Below are 21,137 nucleotides of genomic sequence, written 5' to 3' on the forward strand. Positions count from 1 at the left end.
GTGTCATATATGCTGATGGGGCTGAAAGAATGATCTGGAAAGCCAGGGCATGGTAATCAGAGAGTGGGGTCCATGATGAGACCCTGTCAGGGCAGGGCTGGAGTTACTGCTCATGGAAGTCTGGGAGTGGAAGGCCGAGGTGGGTGCAGGACAAGGTCCTGGGAGAAAAGAAGGTCAAGAAGAAAAGGAGGTCGGATAGGACAGACTTGTAGACAAGAATTAAGGTAGCCAGAGTTTTGGAGAAAATGGCAGAGGCACTGGAGCTAGACTCACCCAGGAAAGAAGGGGAGAGGCCCTGTGGGAGGGCAGAGCAGCAGCAACGAGCAGTAATGGGTGAGGGACTCCACTAACAGACGAACGGTTCAGCCAGGAGCAATTGTCAGCGAGAAACAGGAGCGCACCTGCGTCCTCTGCAGGTCGAGGGGGTGCAGGAGCCGGGGCAAAACAAATTACAGTGGAGAGGCAGCAGCACCCTCTGGGGGGACCGATCCCCTTCAGAGTAGGAGTCAGCAAACTGCTGCTCAGGGGCCACATCCAGCTACCCGTTTTTGTAAACAAAGATTTATTAGAGCATGGTTGCCCCCATTCATTGGCAGTGGGTTTTGCTATTTATGGGATCAAAGTTTTCTTAGTATGCTCTGAGAGGGTTACTGCAATAAATAAGATGACTATATTTTTTTTAGCAGAAAGGTCATATGATTGTGAGAGGTGAAGCCGGCTGGGATTCTGGGTCAGGTGGTGACTTGGAGAACTTTTCTGTCTAGCTAAAGGATTGTAAACACACCAATCAGCACTCTGTGTCTAGCTAAAGGATTGTAAATGCACCAATCAGCACTTGTAAAAATGCGCCAATCAGCACTCTGTGTCTAGCTAAAGGTTTGTAAATGCGCTAATCAGCACTCTGTAAAAACAGACCAATCAGCACTCTGTAAAACAGACCAATCAGCGCTCTGTAAAATGGACCAATCAGCAGGATGTGGGTGGGGCCAAATAAGGGAATAAAAGCTGGCCACCCGGGCCAGCAGCAGCAACCTGCTCAGGTCCCCTTCCATGGTGTGGAAGCTTTGTTCTTTCGCTGTTCACAATGAATCTTGCTGCTGCTCACTCTTTGGGTCCGCACTAGCTTTATGAGCTGTAACGCTCACTGCGAAGGTCTGTGGCTTCACTCCTGAAGTCAGCAAGACCACGAACCCACCGGAAGGAGGAAACAACTCCGGAAGCACCACGTTTAAGAGCTGTAACACTCACTGCGAAAGTCTGCAGCTTCACTCCTGAAGTCAGCAAGACCACAAACCCACCGGAAGGAAGAAATTCCAGACACATCTAAACATTGGAAGGAACAAACTCCAGACACACTATCTTTAAGAACTGTAACACTCACCGCGAGGGTCTGTGGCTTCATGCTTGAAGTCAGCCGGACCAAGAACCCACCGGAAAGAACCAATTCCTGACACAATCGTATGTAAAATTTTACTTCCTGATGTGGGAGTTCATGAAAATGAATTTAAACCTAATTTTAATTATGCTTATATTCTTACCCCCTCCTGTTGCCATTCCGTCCTATACATGACCCCAAACCAACAAACACTTGAATTGTTTATTTTTAATTACACCACGAGGCTACATTTTTATTGTTTTACAAGGCATAGGTAAAAAGCAAGGAGTTGAAGGCAAGTGGACTGGGGCAGGGAGGTGGAACTGGAGCGCACTGCGGTCAGAACCCTGGGTTGGATGGAGGTTTGGTTTCTGTCTCTGCCAGAAGCCGTCTCTCTTAACCGTGGACAGATCTTGTTCCTGAATGGACGCTTTCAGTATTTCTTTCTGAAGTCTGATATTTGCTATAGATTTTATTTTTTTCTGTGGCTGTAGATACCCTTTATCTGGTTAATAAAATTATTATCTATTACTATTTTGCTAAGTTAAAGAAAAGCATGACTGTTGAAATGTATCACATACTTTTCTCTGCACCTACAAAGATGACCAAATGAACTCACCATTGGTTTATTAATGTTGTGAATGACATTGATTTTGCTCCTAATGTTTAACCAATCTGTGTTCCTGATCATGATCAAACCTGGTCTTTATTCTTCTTCCCCTTTTCGTTTTCTTGCTCCTGCTGCTTCTCATCCTTCTCCTTTTCCTCCTCTTTCTTTGAATATTACTACATTAAGTTTGCTAATTATTTAGTGTGTGATTTTTGGGTTTACATACTTTTCTTTCTTGTACTACTCTTCACTCTTTAAAAAATGTTTATTTTGAAATGTTAGATTTCTAGAAGAGTTATAAAGATATACAGAGAATTCTCACATAACCGTTCACTCAGCTTCCTCTCATTCATCTGACATGACCATGGTACATTAAGATTAAGAAATTGGCCAGGCGTGGTGGCTCATGCCTGTAATCCCAGCACTTTGGGAGGCCAAGGCAGGTGGATCATCTGAGGTCAGGAGTTCGAGACCAGCCTGGCCAACATGGTGAAACCCCATCTCTACTAAAAATACAAAAATTAGCTGGGCATGGTGATGCGCACCTGTAATCCCAGCTACTTGAAAGGCTGAGACAGGAGAATCGCTTCAACCCAGGGGAGAGAGGTTGCAATGAGCTGAGATCACGCCACTGCACTCCAGCCTGGGTGACAGAGCAAGACTTCATCTCAAAAAAAAAAAAAAAGAAAAAGAAAGGTTAAGAGATTAACATTGGTACAATGCCATTAACTAACTGCAGACTTTATTCAGATTTCTGCATTTTTTTCCTCTAAGATATTTTTTCTGTTCTGGGATCCCAATCTAGTATACCTTGTTGCATTTGGCCATCATGTTTCTTTATTCTCGTCCAATCTGTGATAGTTTTATGGTTTTTCCTTTTTTAATGACTTTAATTTTTTAAAGTGTAATGATCAGGTGTTTTGAAGAATGGCTGTCAATTTGGGCTTGTCTGTTATTTTCTCATAATTAGACTGGGCTTACAGATTTTAGAGGGAAATGTCATAGAAGCGAACTTCTCTTCACATATTATATCAGAGTGTCATTACCGGCATGTTAACTTTGATCACTGGCTGTAATGTTGTCTTACAAAGTTTTGTTCAGGTTTTTCTAGCCTGGTAAAATGAGTTAGGGAGTATATCTTCTCTTTCTTTTACTGTAGAAGAGTTAGTGTAAGGCTAGATCATTTAAATATTCTGGAATTCACTGTAGAACCATCTGAAGTTGGAGTTTTCTTTGTTAGAACATTTTAAATTTCCGATTGGATTTCTTTAAAAGTTTTAGGAATATGTGTTTTCTCTTCCTGCATTTGTCAATTTTGGCAGGTTATTTTCCCTTGAAATTACTCTTTTCAACTAAATTGTGTATTTATTGACATAAAAGTTGGTTACAATATCTCCTTGTTGTCTTCTTAACGGGGACAGGATCTCAAATGTGTTCTTTTTCATTTGTGTTATTGATTATGCCATCTCTCTTGTTAAACAGTTTTGCCTGAGGTTTTGAGTTTTATTATTAGTTTTTGCAAAGAATAAACTTTCTGATTTCTTTTGGCTCTCTATCGTTCTATTATTTATTTTCTGTTTCGTTATTTCTGCACTCATTTTTTATTATTTGCTTCTTAAAGCTTATTTTAGTGTTCTTTTTTAATCTTTGGGGACATACATTTAGATTGTTAATTTTTAGCTGTTCTTTTCACACACGCACACCATACACACACACCATACACACACACATATGGTAAAATTCATGTCCTACTAAGAATTATTTTAAATTCATTACTCAGTTTTGATATGTAGTGTTTTGTTTGTAATCTAGTTCAAAATATTTTCTGTGACCCTTACGTTTTCTTCTTTGACCCATCTAATATTTAGAAGCATGTTTCTTAATTTTCAAATACATGAAATATGCCTGATTTTAAAAATGTATTTCTAGCATGGTTACACTGTGATTGGAGAACTTTCCCTGAATGATTTCAGTTCTTTAAATATTTAAAGGACTTCTTAATGGTCCTGTATATGGTTAATTTTTTAAGAAGCTTACATGAGTTTAACAACAGAATGTACTCTATAATTTTTGGATGCATTGTTCCTAGGTCAAGTTTATGAATCATGTTGCTCAGATTTTAGATAAGATCTGTATTTTTTGTGTGTTTTATTGTTACTTAATGCGAGATATGTATTATAATCTTCCACTCTTATTGTGAGTTTGTCAGTTTCTTCTCATGGTTCTGTCAATTTTTGTTATATATTTTTAGGCCATGTGAATTAAGTACATATACATTTAGTATCTTCCTTGTTTAGCAAATCATTTATCATTATAAAACAACTGTATTCATCTCGAGTAATTCTTTGGCCTTCTTTAGAATTCTTTGCATCTATTCTCTTCTGATGTTAAATAGAACTACCCCAACTTTCTTTTGGTTAGTTATGTATGCTATCTACACAGTTATTTACTCTTACAGCTTTCAATATGTACCCAGCAAATTTAAGCGTGTCTCCTTCGCACACCACAGCATTAGATTTTGATATTTAAATCTAGTGATTGATATTTCACTCAAACATCCAGTCTACTTACCATTACTGTACTTACTAATATATTACGGGGTAAACCAACCATCTAATTATGTGTTTTCTATTTGTCTGGTTTTATGCCTTTTCTCTTTCTTGCCTTCTTTTTTGGGTTGATTATTTTTTTCTTTGCTCACAGTAACACTCACTCTTTTTGGTGTACAGTTACATGAGATTGGCGAATGCATGCACTTATGTAACCACAAGGCAGCGTCATCGCAAAACTCTCCCCTGCGCTGCCCATTTGCACTCAGTTATCTCATCTCCACTCTCTGGCAACAACCAATGTGTTTGTGTTCCTCTAATTTTGAATTTTCCAGAATGTCATATAAATCAAATCATAGTTGAGCATGGTTTCTGTCAGTTATAACGATGTGTTTGAAATTCATTCATGGTGTGTGTGTGTGTAATAATAATCCATTCCTTTTTATTGCCAAAGAGTATCGGCCAATAACATTAACTTTGGATGCACCACAGCTTTTTTACTCAGTTGCAAGTTAAAGAACATTCAGTTGTCTAAGCTATATTCCAGGACCAGGCACACCCTGAGGGGATATCTTGGAGAAAAAATAATGGGGAAAATAGGGGACTCCCATGTACACTCGTTTAGCCTCAGGAGCCCTTTTCTTGGTTTCTCAGGCCTAACACACAGAATCCATGAATTCTTAACCACCAATGTTGAACAGTCTATGATTAGGACTGCCTTTGGATCCATGTTGTAAGAGAAAAGAGAAAAAACAAAACTAGAAAACACCTCCTTTTAGGCTACTTTTCCGTGTTTTGACTCTCCCCACAATTGTTGACTTTTGTTTACTAGATATTTTAGTTGTAATCAGTGATTTTTGTAGCTGTAGAGGTCTAATCCTAGCTAGAAGGAGCTTTCCTAGTTGATTAATTTTATGATTTTATAATGCTTTTTCCTGGTAGTTTTGAAGTGTTTTTTTTTTTTTTTAGTCATCCTGTAGTATTTCCTAGAAATTACAATAAGCCTTCTTAATTTATAAAATTCAAATATTAATTGATAATTGTACTCTAGTCCTGTGAAGCAAAAGCACACTCAGACATTTCAGTTCTATTTGTCCCTTTCCTGATTTCTATGCTCTCGTTGTCATATATTTTAATTTCACCTGTATAATCTACATCCTAAAAATGTTAGTGTTCTTGTTTTAATACAGTGTTCATTTCAATATAGTCTCACAATTCTTTTGATCCCTTTCTGCATCTTCAATTTTTCATCTGTGATAATGCTCCTTCTGCCTGAAGTACATACTTTTTTACATTTTTTAGTGTTCTATTCTATTGTATTTAGTATTCTATTCTAATAAATAACTTATTTCAGTTTTTGTTCATCTGAAAACTTCATGTTACCTTATTTTTTACCAACCAGCCAAGTGTCCTGTATAAAATGAAAAACATGCATTGATTGTAGTAGTTTCTGGCTAATGTTATATAGAATAATTAAGATTACTTTATTTTTTCTGTGGAATAAGCCTCATATTTTTGATCCTTTAAATTGAATTGCAAGAGCCAGATGATGTGATCTATCTATTTCTTTTTTGTAATATATTAATATATCAAATTATTTAAGCAATCTCAGTTTCTTTTCTTTTGCCTTTTCACTTTGGTTCATTTCATAAAATAGGTGTTATTTTCAGTTTTGCTGGTACAAAGTTAATTCATGATTGCTTTATGTTTTTTGCACCACGTCATTTTCAACATTTATTCATTTCCCATCATTTATATGCTGCAAAGTGTTATCACTAACAATGTATTTTTCTGTTTGCTTGCTCTTAAATGTGTAGACTTCTAGTTAGGTGTGGTGTTTTTTACATGAACAGTGAATAATGACTTTATAGGTTTCCTCATCATTCTCTTCGAATACCATTGTGGATCCTAAGGTTCAAGTCTTGATGCCAGTTTAGTGAGGGGAGGGAGGGAACTAAAGCTTTGATTAATTTTTGGAAAGGAAATTTGCTTCTCTGTCTGTGTCTTTTCTCCTCTGGGTTTGGCAAATCTCATTTTTTTTTTTTAGTACCAGTCTTGACATGGCTGAGTCCCATTCCTGGTGGAGGGTGGAGAAGCATATTCCTTTTTCTCTTTGGAGAGGAGCTAACTCCCCACCTTGCCTGTTGCCTTCTCCTGCTGTTTGCATAAATGAAGAACTCTTGCAGTCCTGGGAAACTGTCCTGGGAGACAAAGTCCCATAGACCTGAGCCTTTTCATCACTACCCACAGATTCCACTGCAATGGCCGTCAAAGCCATCTGAGATGTAATTTTCATTTTCTCCTCTACCCTCCAGTTTGGGGGTGCATTGGAGTCTCAGATCTTCATTCGTATCCTTTGGGTCCATACTGCTTCTTCAGTGTGGTGAAGTTTCGAAAAGTTCCAAGAGTTCTTAATAAACCTGGTCCCATTTTCACTGTTCCTAATAAAAATTCTTTTGAGTTTTGGAATTTTTTGGCTTCCAGTCTTAACATTTCAGTTTGCACATTTTCCTCATAGGATTCATAATTAATATATAACTTCTTTTTTTGTATGAAGGTGGGAGAATGAAACTTACCTCCTAGATTTACTATATTTTCCAAGGACTTTGTTTTAGGTGACTTTTAGAAATTTTTTCTCTCTCTTTATTCTTTATTTCATTAGTCGTTTTTTCTGATCAAGTAATCCATGCTTATATAAAACAATGTAGAAAGTCAGAAATAATGTAAATCAGAAAATATTATCTTAGACTTTGTTGTTTAGTAAAGAATCTATCTGGTCTTTGTCCTTAGTTCATGGGAGGCAGCCCCTAAAACTTTGGAATCTTCCAAGTGGTAAGAATGTCTATTTTTTTTTTTAAAGGGCTAAATTTCTTTAATATACAAAGATCTCTTACAAGTCAATAAGCAACAAATAGGCAAAAACCACTCACATCCAGATACTGAAATGAAAGATAATAGCCTGTTGACATGAGTATATTTAATATCTTCATAATTCAGAAAATGCAAATTAAATAATAAGGATATAATTTTCCTTGTGTCTGATTGACAAATTGAACAGGTTAACATTTAATATGGGGAAGGATGTGGGAAAACAAATATTTTGTTGGAACGTAAGTGGAATTAACCCTTTTAGAGAGCAATTTGGCAAAATATATCAAAATTATAAATGTGTATTTCCATGTGTAACAATTTTATTTACACCATTTTCTATGAGTGCTTGAAAATATTAGTATATTCCAGGTAGAATCCCTAAGGGAAAAAAAAAACCACTAGTACAATGAACTTAATTATCCCAAATGCTAGGGAAAATGGATATGGAATTTATGGTCTGAGCAAAGCATTCAATGCTTTTCTTCTTTTCATCCTAAGTTATAGTTGGTTACTTCCAAATATAAAGGCTAAAGCTTGGCATTACCGTGTTTTCAGAGATTCAGAAATTCTATTTTTTTTTCTTTTTTTAAATTTTTTTTTTTAAATTATACTTCAAGTTTTAGGGTACATGTGCACAATGTGCAGGTTAGTTACATATGTATACATGTGCCATGCTGGTGCGCTGCACCCACTAACTCGTCATCTAGCATTAGGTATCTCTCCCAATGCTATCCCTCCCCCCTCCCCCCACCCCACAACAGTCCCCAGAGTGTGATGTTCCCCTTCCTGTGTCCATGTGTTCTCATTGTTCAATTCCCACCTATGAGTGAGAATATGCGGTGTTTGGTTTTTTGTTCTTGTGATAGTTTACTGAGAATGATTTCCAGTTTCATCCATGTCCCTACAAAGGACATGAACTCATCATTTTTTATGGCTGCATAGTATTCCATGGTGTATGTGTGCCACATTTTCTTAATCCAGTCTATCATTGTTGGACATTTGGGTTGGTTCCAAGTCTTTGCTATTGTGAATAATGCCGCAATAAACATACGTGTGCATGTGTCTTTATAGCAGCATGATTTATAGTCCTTTGGGTATATACCTAGTAATGGGATGGCTGGGTCAAATGGTATTTCTAGTTCTAGATCCCTGAGGAATCGCCACACTGACTTCCACAATGGTTGAACTAGTTTACAGTCCCACCAACAGTGTAAAAGTGTTCCTATTTCTCCACATCCTCTCCGGCACCTGTTGTTTCCTTTTTAATGATTGCCATTCTAACTGGTGTGAGATGGTATCTCATTGTGGTTTTGATTTGCATTTCTCTGATGGCCAGTGATGGTGAGCATTTTTTCATGTGTTTTTTGTCTTCTTTTGAGAAGTGTCTGTTCATGTCCTTCACCCACTTTTTGATGGGGTTGTTTGTTTTTTCTTGTAAATTTGTTTGAGTTCATTGTAGATTCTGGATATTAGCCCTTTGTCAGATGAGTAGGTTGCAACAATTTTCTCCCATTTTGTAGGTTGCCTGTTCACTCTGATGGTAGTTTCTTTTGCCGTGCAGAAGCTCTTTAGTTTAATTAGATCCCATTTGTCAATTTTGGCTTTTGTTGCCATTGCTTTTGGTGTTTTAGACATGAAGTCCTTGCCCATGCCTATGTCCTGAATGGTAATGCCTTGGTTTTCTTCTGGGGTTTTTATGGTTTTAGGTCTAACGTTTAAGTCTTTAATCCATCTTGAATTGATTTTTGTATAAGGTGTAAGGAAGGGATCCAGTTTCAGCTTTCTACATATGGCTAGCCAGTTTTCCCAGCACCATTTATTCAATAGGGAATCCTTTCCCCATTGCTTGTTTTTCTCAGGTTTGTCAAAGATCAGATAGTTGTAGATATGCGGCGTTATTTCTGAGGGCTCTGTTCTGTTCCATTGATCTATATCTCTGTTTTGGTACCAGTACCATGCTGTTTCAGTTACTGTAGCCTTGTAGTATAGTTTGAAGTCAGGTAGTGTGATGCCTCCAGCTTTGTTCTTTTGGCTTAGGATTGACTTGGCGATGCGGGCTCTTTTTTGGTTCCATATGAACTTTAAAGTAGTTTTTTCCAATTCTGTGAAGAAAGTCATTGGTAGCTTGATAGGGATGGCATTGAATCTGTAAATTACCTTGGGCAGTATGGCCATTTTCGCGATACTGATTCTTCCTACCCATGAGCATGGAATGTTCTTCCATTTGTTTGTATCCTCTTTTATTTCGTTGAGCAGTGGTTTGTAGTTCTCCTTGAAGAGGTCCTTCACATCCCTTGTAAGTTGGATTCCTAGGTATTTTATTCTCTTTGAAGCAATTGTGAATGGGAATTCACTCATGATTTGGCTCTCTGTCTGTTGTTGGTGTATAAGAATGCTTGTGATTTTTGTACATTGATTTTGTATCCTGAGACTTTGCTGAAGTCGCTTATCAGCTTAAGGAGATTTTGGGCTGAGACAGTGGGGTTTTCTAGATATACAATCATGTCATCTGCAAACAGGGACAATTTGACTTTCTCTTTTCCTAATTGAATACCCTTTATTTCCTTCCCCTGCCTAATTGCCCTGGCCGGAACTTCCAACACTATGTTGAATAGGAGTGGTGAGAGATGGCATCCCTGTCTTGTGCCAGTTTTCAAAGGGAATGCTTCCAGTTTTTGCCCATTCAGTATGATATTGGCTGTGAGTTTGTCATAGATAGCTCTTATTATTTTGAAATACGTCCCATCAATACCTAATTTATTGAGAGTTTTTAGCATGAAGGGTTGTTGAATTTTGTCAAAGGCCTTTTCTGCATCTATTGAGATAATCATGTGGTTTTTGTCTTTGGTTCTGTTTATATGCTGGATTACATTTATTGATTTGCGTATGTTGAACCAGCCTTGCATCCCAGGGATGAAGCCCACTTGATCATGGTGGATAAGCTTTTTGATGTGCTGCTGGATACGGTTTGCCAGTATTTGATTGAGGATTTTTGCATCAATGTTCATCAAGGATATTGGTCTAAAATTCTCTTTTTTTGTTGTGTCTCTGCCCGGCTTTGGAATCAGGATGATGCTGTCCTCATAAAATGAGTTAGGGAGTATTTACCTCTTTTTCTATTGATTGGAATAGTTTCAGAAGGAATGGTACCATTTCCTCCTTGGACCGCTGGTAGAATTCGGCTGTGAATCCATCTGGTCCTGAACTCTTTTTGGTTGGTAAGCTGTTGATTATTGCCACAATTTCAGAGCCTGTTATTGGTCTATTCAGAGATTCAACTTCTTCCTGGTTTAGTCTTGGGAGAGTGTATGTGTCCAGAAATTTATCCATTTCTTCTAGATTTTCTAGTTTATTTGCGTAGAGGTGTTTGTAGTAGTCTCTGATGGTAGTTTGTATTTCTGTGGGATCGGTGGGGATATCCCCTTTATCATTTTTTATTGCGTCTATTTGATTCTTCTCTCTTTTTTTCTTTATCAGTCTTGCTAGCGGTCTATGAATTTTGTTGATCCTTTCAAAAAACCAGCTCCTGGATTCATTAAATTGTTGAAGGGTTTTTTGTGTCTCTATTTCCTTCAGTTCTGCTCTGATTTTAGTTATTTCTTGCCTTCTGCTAGCTTTTGAATGTGTTTGCTCTTGCTTTTCTAGTTCCTTTGATTGTGATGTTAGGGTGTCAAATTTGGATCTTTCCTGCTTTCTCTTGTGGGCATTTAGTGCTATAAATTTCCCTCTACACACTGCTTTGAATGCATCCCAGAGATTCTGGTATGTTGTGTCTTTGTTCTCGTTGGTTTCAAAGAACATCTTTATTTCTGCCTTCATTTTGTTATGTACCCAGTAGTCATTCAGGAGCAGGTTGTTCAGTTTCCATGTAGTTGAGCGGTTTTGAGTGAGATTCTTAATCCTGAATTCTAGTTTGATTGCACTGTGGTCTGAGAGATAGCTTGTTATAATTTCTGTTCTTTTACATTTGCTGAGGAGAGCCCTACTTCCAAGTATGTGGTCAATTTTGGAATAGGTGTGGTGTGGTGCTGAAAAAAATGTATATTCTTTTGATTTGGGGTGGAGAGTTCTGTAGATGTCTATTAGGTCCACTTGGTGCAGAGCTGAGTTCAATTCCTGGGTATCCTTGTTGACTTTCTGTCTCGTTGATCTGTCTAATGTTGACAGTGGGGTGTTAAAATCTCCCATTATTAATGTGTGGGAGTCTAAGTCTCTTTGTAGGTCACTCAGGACTTGCTTTATGAATCTGGGTGCCCCTGTATTGGGTGCATATATATTTAGGATAGTTAGCTCTTCTTGTTGAATTGATCCCTTTAGCATTATGTAATGGCCTTCTTTGTCTCTTTTGATCTTTGTTGGTTTAAAGTCTGTTTTATCAGAGACTAGGATTGCAACCCCTGCCTTTTTTTCTTTTCCATTTGCTTGGTAGATCTTCCTCCATCCTTTTATTTTGAGCCTATGTGTGTCTCTGCACGTGAGATGGGTTTCCTGAATACAGCACACTGATGGGTCTTGACTCTTTATCCAATTTGCCATCTATGTCTTTTAATTGGAGCATTTAGTCCATTGACATTTAAAGTTAATATTGTTATGTGTGAATTTGATCCTGTCATTATGATGTTAGCTGGTTATTTTGCTCATTAGTTGATGCAGTTTCTTCCTAGTCTTGATGGTCTTTACATTTTGGCATGATTTTGCAGCAGCTGGTACCGGTTGTTCCTTTCCATGTTTAGTGCTTCCTTCAGGAGCTCTTTTAGGGCAGGCCTGGTGGTGACAAAATCTCTCAGCATTTGCTTGTCTGTAAAGTATTTTATTTCTCCTTCACTTATGAAGCTTAGTTTGGCTGGATATGAAATTCTGGGCTGAAAATTCCTTTCTTTAAGAATGTTGAATATTGGCCCCCACTCTCTTCTGGCTTGTAGAGTTTCTGCCGAGAGATCTGCTGTTAGTCTGATGGGCTTCCCTTTGAGGGTAACCCGACCTTTCTCTCTGGCTGCCCTTAACATTGTTTCCTTCATTTCAACTTTGGTGAATCTGACAATTATGTGTCTTGGAGTTGCTCTTCTCGAGGAGCATCTTTGTGGCGTTCTCTGTATTTCCTGAATCTGAATGTTGGCCTGCCTTGCTAGATTGGGGAAGTTCTCCTGGATAATATCCTGCAGAGTGTTTTCCAACTTGGTTCCATTCTCCCCGTCACTTTCAGGTACACCAATCAGAAGTAGATTTGGTCTTTTCACATAGTCCCATATTTCTTGGAGGCTTTGCTCGTTTCTTTTTATTCTTTTTTCTCTAAACTTCCCTTCTCACTTCATTTCATTCATTTCATCTTCCATCGCTGATACCCTTTCTTCCAGTTGATCGCATCGACTCCTGAGGCTTCTGCATTCTTCACGTAGTTCTCGAGCCTTGGTTTTCAGCTCCATCAGCTCCTTTAAGCACTTCTCTGTATTGGTTATTCTAGTTATACATTCTTCTAAATTTTTTTCAAAGTCTCCAACTTCTTTGCCTTTGGTTTGAACCTCCTCCCATAGCTCAGAGTAATTTGATCGTCTGAAGCCTTCTTCTCTCAGCTCGTCAAAGTCATTCTCCGTCCAGCTTTGTTCCGTTGCTGGTGAGGAACTGCGTTCCTTTGGAGGAGGAGAGGCACTCTGCTTTTTAGAGTTTCCAGTTTTTCTGCTCTGTTTTTTCCCCATCTTTGTGGTTTTATCTACTTTTGGTCTTTGATGATGGTGATGTACAGATGGGTTTTTGGTGTGGATGTCCTTTCTGTTTGTTAGTTTTCCTTCTAACAGACAGGTCCCTCAGCTGCAGGTCTGTTGGAGTACCCGGCCGTGTGAGGTGTCAGTCTGCCCCTGCTGGGGGGTGCCTCCCAGTTAGGCTGCTCGGGGGTCAGGGGTCAGTGACCCACTTGAGGAGGCAGTCTGCCTGTTCTCAGATCTCCAGCTGCGTGCTGGGAGAACCACTGCTCTCTTCAAAGCTGTCAGACAGGGACATTTAAGTCTGCAGAGGTTACTGCTGTCTTTTTGTTTGTCTGTGCCCTGCCCCCAGAGGTGGAGCCTACAGAGGCAGGCAGGCCTCCTTGAGCTGTGGTGGGCTCCACCCAGTTCGAGCTTCCTGGCTGCTTTGTTTACCTAAGCAAGCCTGGGCAATGGCAGGCGCCCCTCCCCCAGCCTCGCTGCCACCTTGCCATTTGATCTCAGACTGCTGTGCTAGCAATCAGCGAGACTCTGTGGGTGTAGGACCCTCCAAGCCATGTGCGGGATATAATCTCCTGGTGCGCCGTTTTTTAAGCCCGTCGGAAAAGCGCAGTGTTCAGGTGGGAGTGACCCGATTTTCCAGGTGCCGTCTGTCACCCGTTTCTTTGACTAGGAACTCCCTGACCCCTTGCGCTTCCCGAGTGAGGCAATGCCTCACCCTGCTTCGGCTGGCGCACGGTGTGCGCACCCACTGACCTGCGCCCACTGTCTGGCACTCCGTAGTGAGATGAACCCAGTACCTCAGATGGAAATGCAGAAATCACCCGTCCTCTGCGTCGCTCACGCTGGGAGCTGTAGACCAGAGCTGTTCCTATTCGGCCATCTTGGCTTCTCCCCAAGAATGTCTATTATTCATCGGAGGCCCCTGGGATAACACCTGAGTTTAGACTACTAGAGTAACCCATGGTAGGCCCCCTCTGTATCTTCAGGTCAGGTCAGAAAGACCAACAAAGTGATTAGATGGTTGGTGCTTTGAGCCACATCACATCATCCCAACATCTGGGGAGGAAAGCTGGAGACTGAGTCAATCACATGGGCAGTGATTCAATCATGTCTTGCTAATGAAATCACAATAAAAACTCTGGACACTGAAGCTGGGGTAGGCTTTTCTGGTTGATGGTACACATCAGTGTGCACAGAGGGTGCCTTGTCCTGAGGACATGGAAGCTTCACATTTGGGACCTTCCCAAGTGTCATCCTACAGGTCTCTTTTTTTGGCTGGTTCTTATTTACATACTTTTTTCTGTAATAAAACTATAATCATAAGTATATGACTTTCTTGAGTTCTGTGAGTTGTTTTCTGAATTATTGAAACTCAGTGGATGGTGGAAGCCTCTGGATTTGTAACCAGTTGGTTAGGGTTGCCTGGGAACCCCAAGCTTGTGGCTGGCATCTAAAGTGAGGGCAGTCTTGTGCTAACTGTGCCCTTAACCTGTGGAATTTGAGCCACCTTAGTTAGTGACAGGATTGCATTGCAGAATGCCACCCCTCAGATCCCCTGCCTATTTACATGTTGAAATACTTTAGTCTTTATGAATTTTTCTTCCTTATAATTGAGATCACCCCATCCATACAATTTTCATATCCCTTTTCTTGTCATTGGAGACTTCCAATTTGAAATAAGGTTTACAAGATGTAACTTTACGTACTTAATTTTATATTTGTAAATTAAATCTTGTTCCTCATCGTTAGATGTTATTTCTTGAACTTATCTTTTATGGCTAATTCCATTTTTCTGATATACTGAAATTTATTTTATTGCCTCCTTATTGTTTGACATTTATGTTGCTCTCAAATTAATTATAAGAATATTTTTACAACTCCTTTGTACATAAAGCTTTTATCACATTTTGTATTTTTCCAATAGATACCTAGTAATAGAGCTATTAATACTTTATTAAAAGGCATATCAGTTTTAAAGCTCTTTGCCGAGACTTTTTAAAAAATTTGCAAAGTACCTCTTTATTGAGGTATAATAAATCTGTGCATTTGAGATCTGTGCATAGAGGAAAATGCAGAGATCTTAAATATATACTTTGCTGGATTCTGACAAATGTGTACACCTACCTAACTGTAACCCACCACCTGTCAAGATGGAATATTTTCTTCACCCTAGAAATTTCTCCTATGCCTCTTTCCAATCAACGCTCACCCCCAACATCCTAGACAAAACCTCTATTCTGATTTTAATTATTATAGTTTTTGCCTATTCTAAGCTATTAATGGCCATCATAAATACAACTTATATGAACATTCTTTTTTTAAAAATGAAATTTTTATTGTGCATATTTGAGATTTGCAATATGATGTTATAGGATACATATAGGTAGTAAAATGGTTACGATAGGCAGATTAACGTATCTCTCATCTCACACAGTTACTTTTATATAAACATTCTTGTACAAACCTTTGTGCAGACATGTCATTTCCTTTTTCTTGGACCTCAATTAATCTATATATTCCTTCTCTATTTTTTCATTGAGTTGTATTTTTTGAAGAGTCTGGATTCTTTATCTTGCCTTTTCCCAAAGTCTGGAGTTAGCCAATTGTACCTCTAAGATGTTAACATGTTTCTCCATCTCTTATAATTTTTCTAAATGGGTAGATGTGCTCAGAGGTATTTCATTGTTTTTTAGAAAGAACTCTTTGTAGGTGGTAGTATTTCTATTAGGAGGCATAAAATGGTATTTCTGATATACCAAAATTTATTTTATTATTTTCTTATAGTTTGACATTTATGTTGCTCTCAAATTAATTATAAGAATAGTTTTACAATTTCTTTATACATAAATCTTTTATCACGCTTTGTGTTTTTCCAATAGATACCTAGTAATAGAGCTATCATTACTATTCAGACAGCCACAAAGGGCTGACAGAGCTATTCAGACAGCCACAAAAATGCTGTCTCCTTTTTGTGATATTAGTAGGCATTTATGAACATTGCATAGAACCAGTAATTTATACCAACCTGAAAAGTGGTGATATTTCAATTCTATTTTCTTAATTTATTAGTCAGAATACCCTTGTGAAAAAAAGCTCTTAAGTAACAACCTTTCTGAGAGACACTAGGGCAGGTGACCACTGGCAAGTGGGACACCACTACTATTAGCAGCACAGTCCTGGTGGCTTCCTCGTCCCAACTGGCCTGAGACTCTCTTTCCCCATGGCCCACAGGAGAGCCCCATCCATCCCCTCAATCAGCAGGGATAGCAGTAGCCCCGGTAGTACAACACCAAGGAAACAGAAATAAAACTACAAGAATTGGAAAGTAAAATTCTCATTCAAACCAAAGCCCACAAAACTAAGCTAGCACCTGTATGATACATCTAAAGAGGTGACTGGATACTGAAATAGAAGATGTAAATGGACCCAGAGCCTCCAAAAGTTGACATGCAGTATGATTCCATTTATATTACATTTTTGAAATAACAATTTTAGAAATGGAGAGCAGATCAGTGATCCAGGGTTAGGGACAAAGGAGGGGAAGACAGGAGCAAGGTAGGTGTGGTTATAAAAGGGCATCAGGAGGGGCTCTTGTGGTGATGGAATTGTCCTGTGTTTTGACTGTAGTGATGGATACATGAATCCACACTTGGGATTTAATTTTCTAGAATGAAATACACACACACACACACACACACACACACACACACACACACACACACGTTTTAGAAGTAAAACTGGCAGAAATTACCTGAATTCAATTGTTGGATCTATGTCATAATATATTGGTTTTATAATATTGTACTATAAATTTCAAAATGTTACCACTGGGGGGAGTCGGCCAAAAGGTACATGGGGTCTCTGTGTATTATTTTTTACAAGCGTATGTGAAGCTACAATTATGTCCATAAAATTTTCAGTTACTTCAATCAGTGTTACCAAAACTCAGTTTTTTGGAAAAACAAAACAAAACAAAAAAACCCAACAAAGCTCAGGAACTAACAAGGGGACATTATTACAGATCTTACAGACCTTAAAAAAGTTATGACAATATTATGTAGCATTTTTTGCAATAAATTCAACTACTTAGATGAAAAGAATAAAATTCTTGATTGACAAAAATTACTAAAGTTGACACAATAAATGACAGAAAACTGACACAACAATTTAAGTTCTAGGTATATATATTTATGGCCCATGAGAAAGGAGAGTCTCAGACAAGATGAAACAAAAAGGCCTCTAGGACTGGGTTTCTAGTTGCAGTGGTATTCCAATTGCCAGTGGTCTCATGCCCCAGTTTCTCTCAGTGTAGGTAAGAAGAGGCCTCATGAATACTCTCCCAGTGTCTCTTCATGAAGAGAAGAGTATGGGCCAGGCAGAGAAGCGCATATCACCTGGCCCCTCATTATTAGAGGGCTTCCAAGCAATCTTTTTTGCTGATGCTACCTGACTCCCTTGTGTTGTGAAGAGACTTCTGTTAGATCCAGGGGAAGATCTTACCTTAGATGCTCTAATGGTAGGTTAGGGGTTGGAAAGTGCCAACTATGGGTCACCTTCTATTGGTGGGAATCATGAGATATCCTGTCACTGTGCTGTTCTTTTAGTCTGGGGAGTGCAAACCAGTTCTCCTTCCTCTTACTACTTTTTAAAGTTCTCCTTTGGTTGGCTCTTGCATTACTTCCAGAGGTATAGTAGTATCTCATGGAGAGGAGCAGGGAAAAATAGTCTGTTCCATCTTTTCCTGATCAGAAGTTGTTTTGATTGATTCTTTCTACTCCTATTTAATTTCTATTTCTTTGATTTCTACTTTTAATTATTTTTCTCTTCGTCCTAACTTTAGGTTTAACTTGCCTTTTTCTCGAACTTTTTAAGGTATAAACTTAGATCATTGATTTAAGCTTTTTTTCTTTCCAATTTAAACACTTCAAGCTATAAATTTCACTCTAAGCACTGCTTTAGTTGGTTCCTATTTTGATATAGTGTGCTTTCATTATAATTCAGTTCTAAATGTTTTCTTATTTCCCTTGTGATTTTTGTCATTGAACCAAGGATTATTTAGAACTGTGCTACTTAATTTCCAAACATTCATAAACTTTCTTGTTATCATTATGTTATTGATTTCTAATTTAATGCCATTTGGTAAGATAAAATACTCTGTTGATTTCATGACTTTGTAATTTATAGAGGCTTGTTTTGGAGCCCAGGAAGTGGTCTCTCTTGGTGAATGTTCCATATGCATGTGTAAAGAATGTGCCTTCAACAGTTGTTGAATGTAGTGTTCTGAACACGTCTGCTGGTTATGTTAGTTTACAGTGTCTTCGTTATCTACTGCTGCCTAATGAATTACTCTCAAAGTCAGTGACTTAAAAGAACAAATATTTATTATTTCACATAGTTTAGGAGTTTCAGGAATCTAGGAGAAGCTTCTCTGGGTGGTGTTGGTTCAGGGTATCATGAGGTTGTAGTCCAACTGCAATCCAATGGGGCTGCAGTCAGCTTAAGGCTTGGTTGGGTCCAGAGGACCCACTTCCAAGATGGCTTAGTCATATGGCTATTGACAAGAGGACTTAGTTATTTACCACGTGGGCCACTCCATGAAGCCACTCGTGATATGCTGATGTCTTCCCCACAGTAAGTCATTTGAGACAGAGAGAGCAAGCAAGATAGAAGCCATAGTGACTTTTTGTGACCTAGTCTCCAAAGTCACAATTTTTCAATTCCATTACTCTATTCATTAAAAGCAGGTCCAGCCCATACTCTAGGGGAGGGGAATTGGGCTACACATCTTGAAGGAAGGAATATCAATCAATTAACTATTAAGAGAATAATATTATAATTTCCAGTTACAACTGTGGATTTGTTTATTTCATCCTTTATTTCTATTGGATTTTGCTTCATGTATTTTTAATGTCTGTATTAAGCATCTATGCATTGAACATTGTCTTCTTGATAAATTGATTCTTTTTTAAAAATGAAATGTCTATATTTATATAATTTGTATCTTTAATATAAATAACTTAATAGAAATTTTAATATCTTTAATGTAGCTTAATGGAGCGACCCACATGGTGAGAAACTGAGGCCTCTTGGCAACAGCTATGTCACTAAACCAACTTGGAAGTGGGTCCTCCAGGCCAACCAAGCCTTAAACTGACTGAAGCTCCACTGGGTTGCAGTTGGACTGCAACCTCATGGAAGTTTCTGCCCTGGGTACTTTTCTTGTCATCTACTTGAGGTGGCATTAACTACTTGGTATGTATATTTCATCATTTAAATGTTAACCTAATGGTGTGTTTATGTTTAAAGTTTGTTTTTTATAAATATAGTTGGGTCTTGTCTTTATTTTTATTTTTAAACCTAGTCTGATAATCTTTGTCAGATTAATTGGAGTATTTAGTTAATGTAAATCTAATATAATTATTCATTTAATTGGGTTTAAGTCTACCATCTTGCCATTTATTTTCTATTTGTCCTGTTGAATCTTTGTCCTGTTTCTCTTATTCTGCCTTCTTTTGGGTTTATTATCTTTCAATATTCCACTTTATGATTGCTATTGATATTTAACTATACGTTTTTGTATTGTTTTTAGTGTTTAGAGATTACAATTACACTTTAAACTTTTCTCAGCATACCATTATTTAATAATATACCATTTCTCAAACAACATAAGAATATTAGACCATCATAATTTTATAATTTGACTTACTATGACCTCTAATCTTTGTGCTATTGTTGTAATAATATGTTATAAAACACACAATACAATATTCTTATATATTGCGTGTATGTTATAAAACATACAGTGTTCTTACATTGTGTGTATGTTATGCAATACAGAATACAATGTTCTTATTTTTTCTTTACAGAATCAATAGTCTTACATGTTTTGAATTTTATCTTTATTATATCTAAACTCACTGATTCACTCTGGTGTTCCTCATTCCTCCCTGCAGATCCGTGCTTTCATCTTGGCTCATTTCCCTTCAGCCTGAAGATCTTCCTTTAGTATTTCCTTTGGTGTAGACCTGCTGATGATGATCCTCTCCGCTTCCTTTATTTTCTGAGAATGATATTATTTCATCTTTATTTTTAAAGAATATTTTTGCTTACTGTAAAACTTAGGGTTATAAATGTTGTTTTTTCCACACTAAAAAATAATTGTCTTAATTCTGGCATTCCTTGTTTCTAAGGAAAAGTTACTTGCCTTTCTTATTGTTGTTACCCTGAATACAATTTGTTTCCTTTCTGTGTGTACTTTTACCATTTTCTCTTTATTCTTGGTTTTAGAAAGTTTGACTAGGGCATACTTTGGTATAGATTTGTGTGTGTGTGTTTATCTTTCACTGAATTTGTTGAGCTTTTTGAATTGTTGGGTTGATGACTTTAAACAGCATTGGAAAATTCTCATTTATTATCTTCAATTATTTTGCTTCATTATCTCTCTCCCCTTCTGAAAATTTAATTTCATCCTTATTAGACTTTGATATTGTCTATATCTCTCTGATATGCTAGAATATCTCTTTTCTATCTTGTCCATATTTTTTGTACTTCAATGTGAATACTTTCTATTAAGGTATTTTCGAGTTCACTAATTTGTTTCTTATTGTCTTATTCAGCCCTTTTTTTAAACCAACTGAATGTATTCTTAATTTTACTTATTTTTTTCATTCTAAAATTTCTGTTAGGATTTTTTAAAAATAGTTTTTCATTTTTTTGCTTAAATTATCTCTTTTTAAATACTTTTTCATATTTTTCTTTAGTATTTTAGTATATGTATCACAGTTATTTCAAAGTCTTTGTCTGTTAATTTCAGAATCTGTGTCATCTTTCAGTGTGCCTCTACTACCTGCTTTCTCTCTCTCTTTTTTTTTTTTTTTTTTTTTTGAGACAGAACCTCCTTTGTGGCCCAGGCTGTAATGCAGTGGCGCAATCTCGGCTCACTGCAACCTCTGCCTCCCAGGTTCAAGTGATTCTCCTGCTTCAGCCTCCCGAGTAGCTGGGATTACAGGCGCCCGGCACCACGCCCAGCTAAT

The 21,137-nt window shown here is 37.8% G+C and overlaps 1 long non-coding RNA gene across 2 annotated transcripts in view, besides 1 other annotated feature; it reads left to right on the plus strand.

Moving 5' to 3' along the window:
* Positions 1-1,026: 1,026 nt before the first annotated feature.
* Positions 1,027-21,137, plus strand: part of LOC102723446 (uncharacterized) — a 52,707-nt gene continuing 32,596 nt past the window's right edge. For both annotated transcript variants that reach the window (NR_187744.1, NR_187745.1), the window contains exon 1: positions 1,027-1,458. This is a non-coding gene — a long non-coding RNA (uncharacterized LOC102723446). The remainder of the gene's footprint in view (positions 1,459-21,137) is intronic.
* Positions 13,450-13,950: an enhancer, noted in NCBI's record as "H3K4me1 hESC enhancer chr7:45992471-45992971 (GRCh37/hg19 assembly coordinates)". NCBI's record gives its function as "activates a minimal SCP1, AML or CMV promoter by ChIP-STARR-seq in naive H9 embryonic stem cells {active_cell/tissue: H9 hESC(naive)}" and the evidence as "EXISTENCE:reporter gene assay evidence [ECO:0000049][PMID:30033119]".

The sequence above is a fragment of the Homo sapiens genome, chromosome 7, assembly GCF_000001405.40.
Source record: "Homo sapiens chromosome 7, GRCh38.p14 Primary Assembly".
NCBI classification, from domain to species: Eukaryota; Metazoa; Chordata; class Mammalia; order Primates; family Hominidae; genus Homo; species Homo sapiens.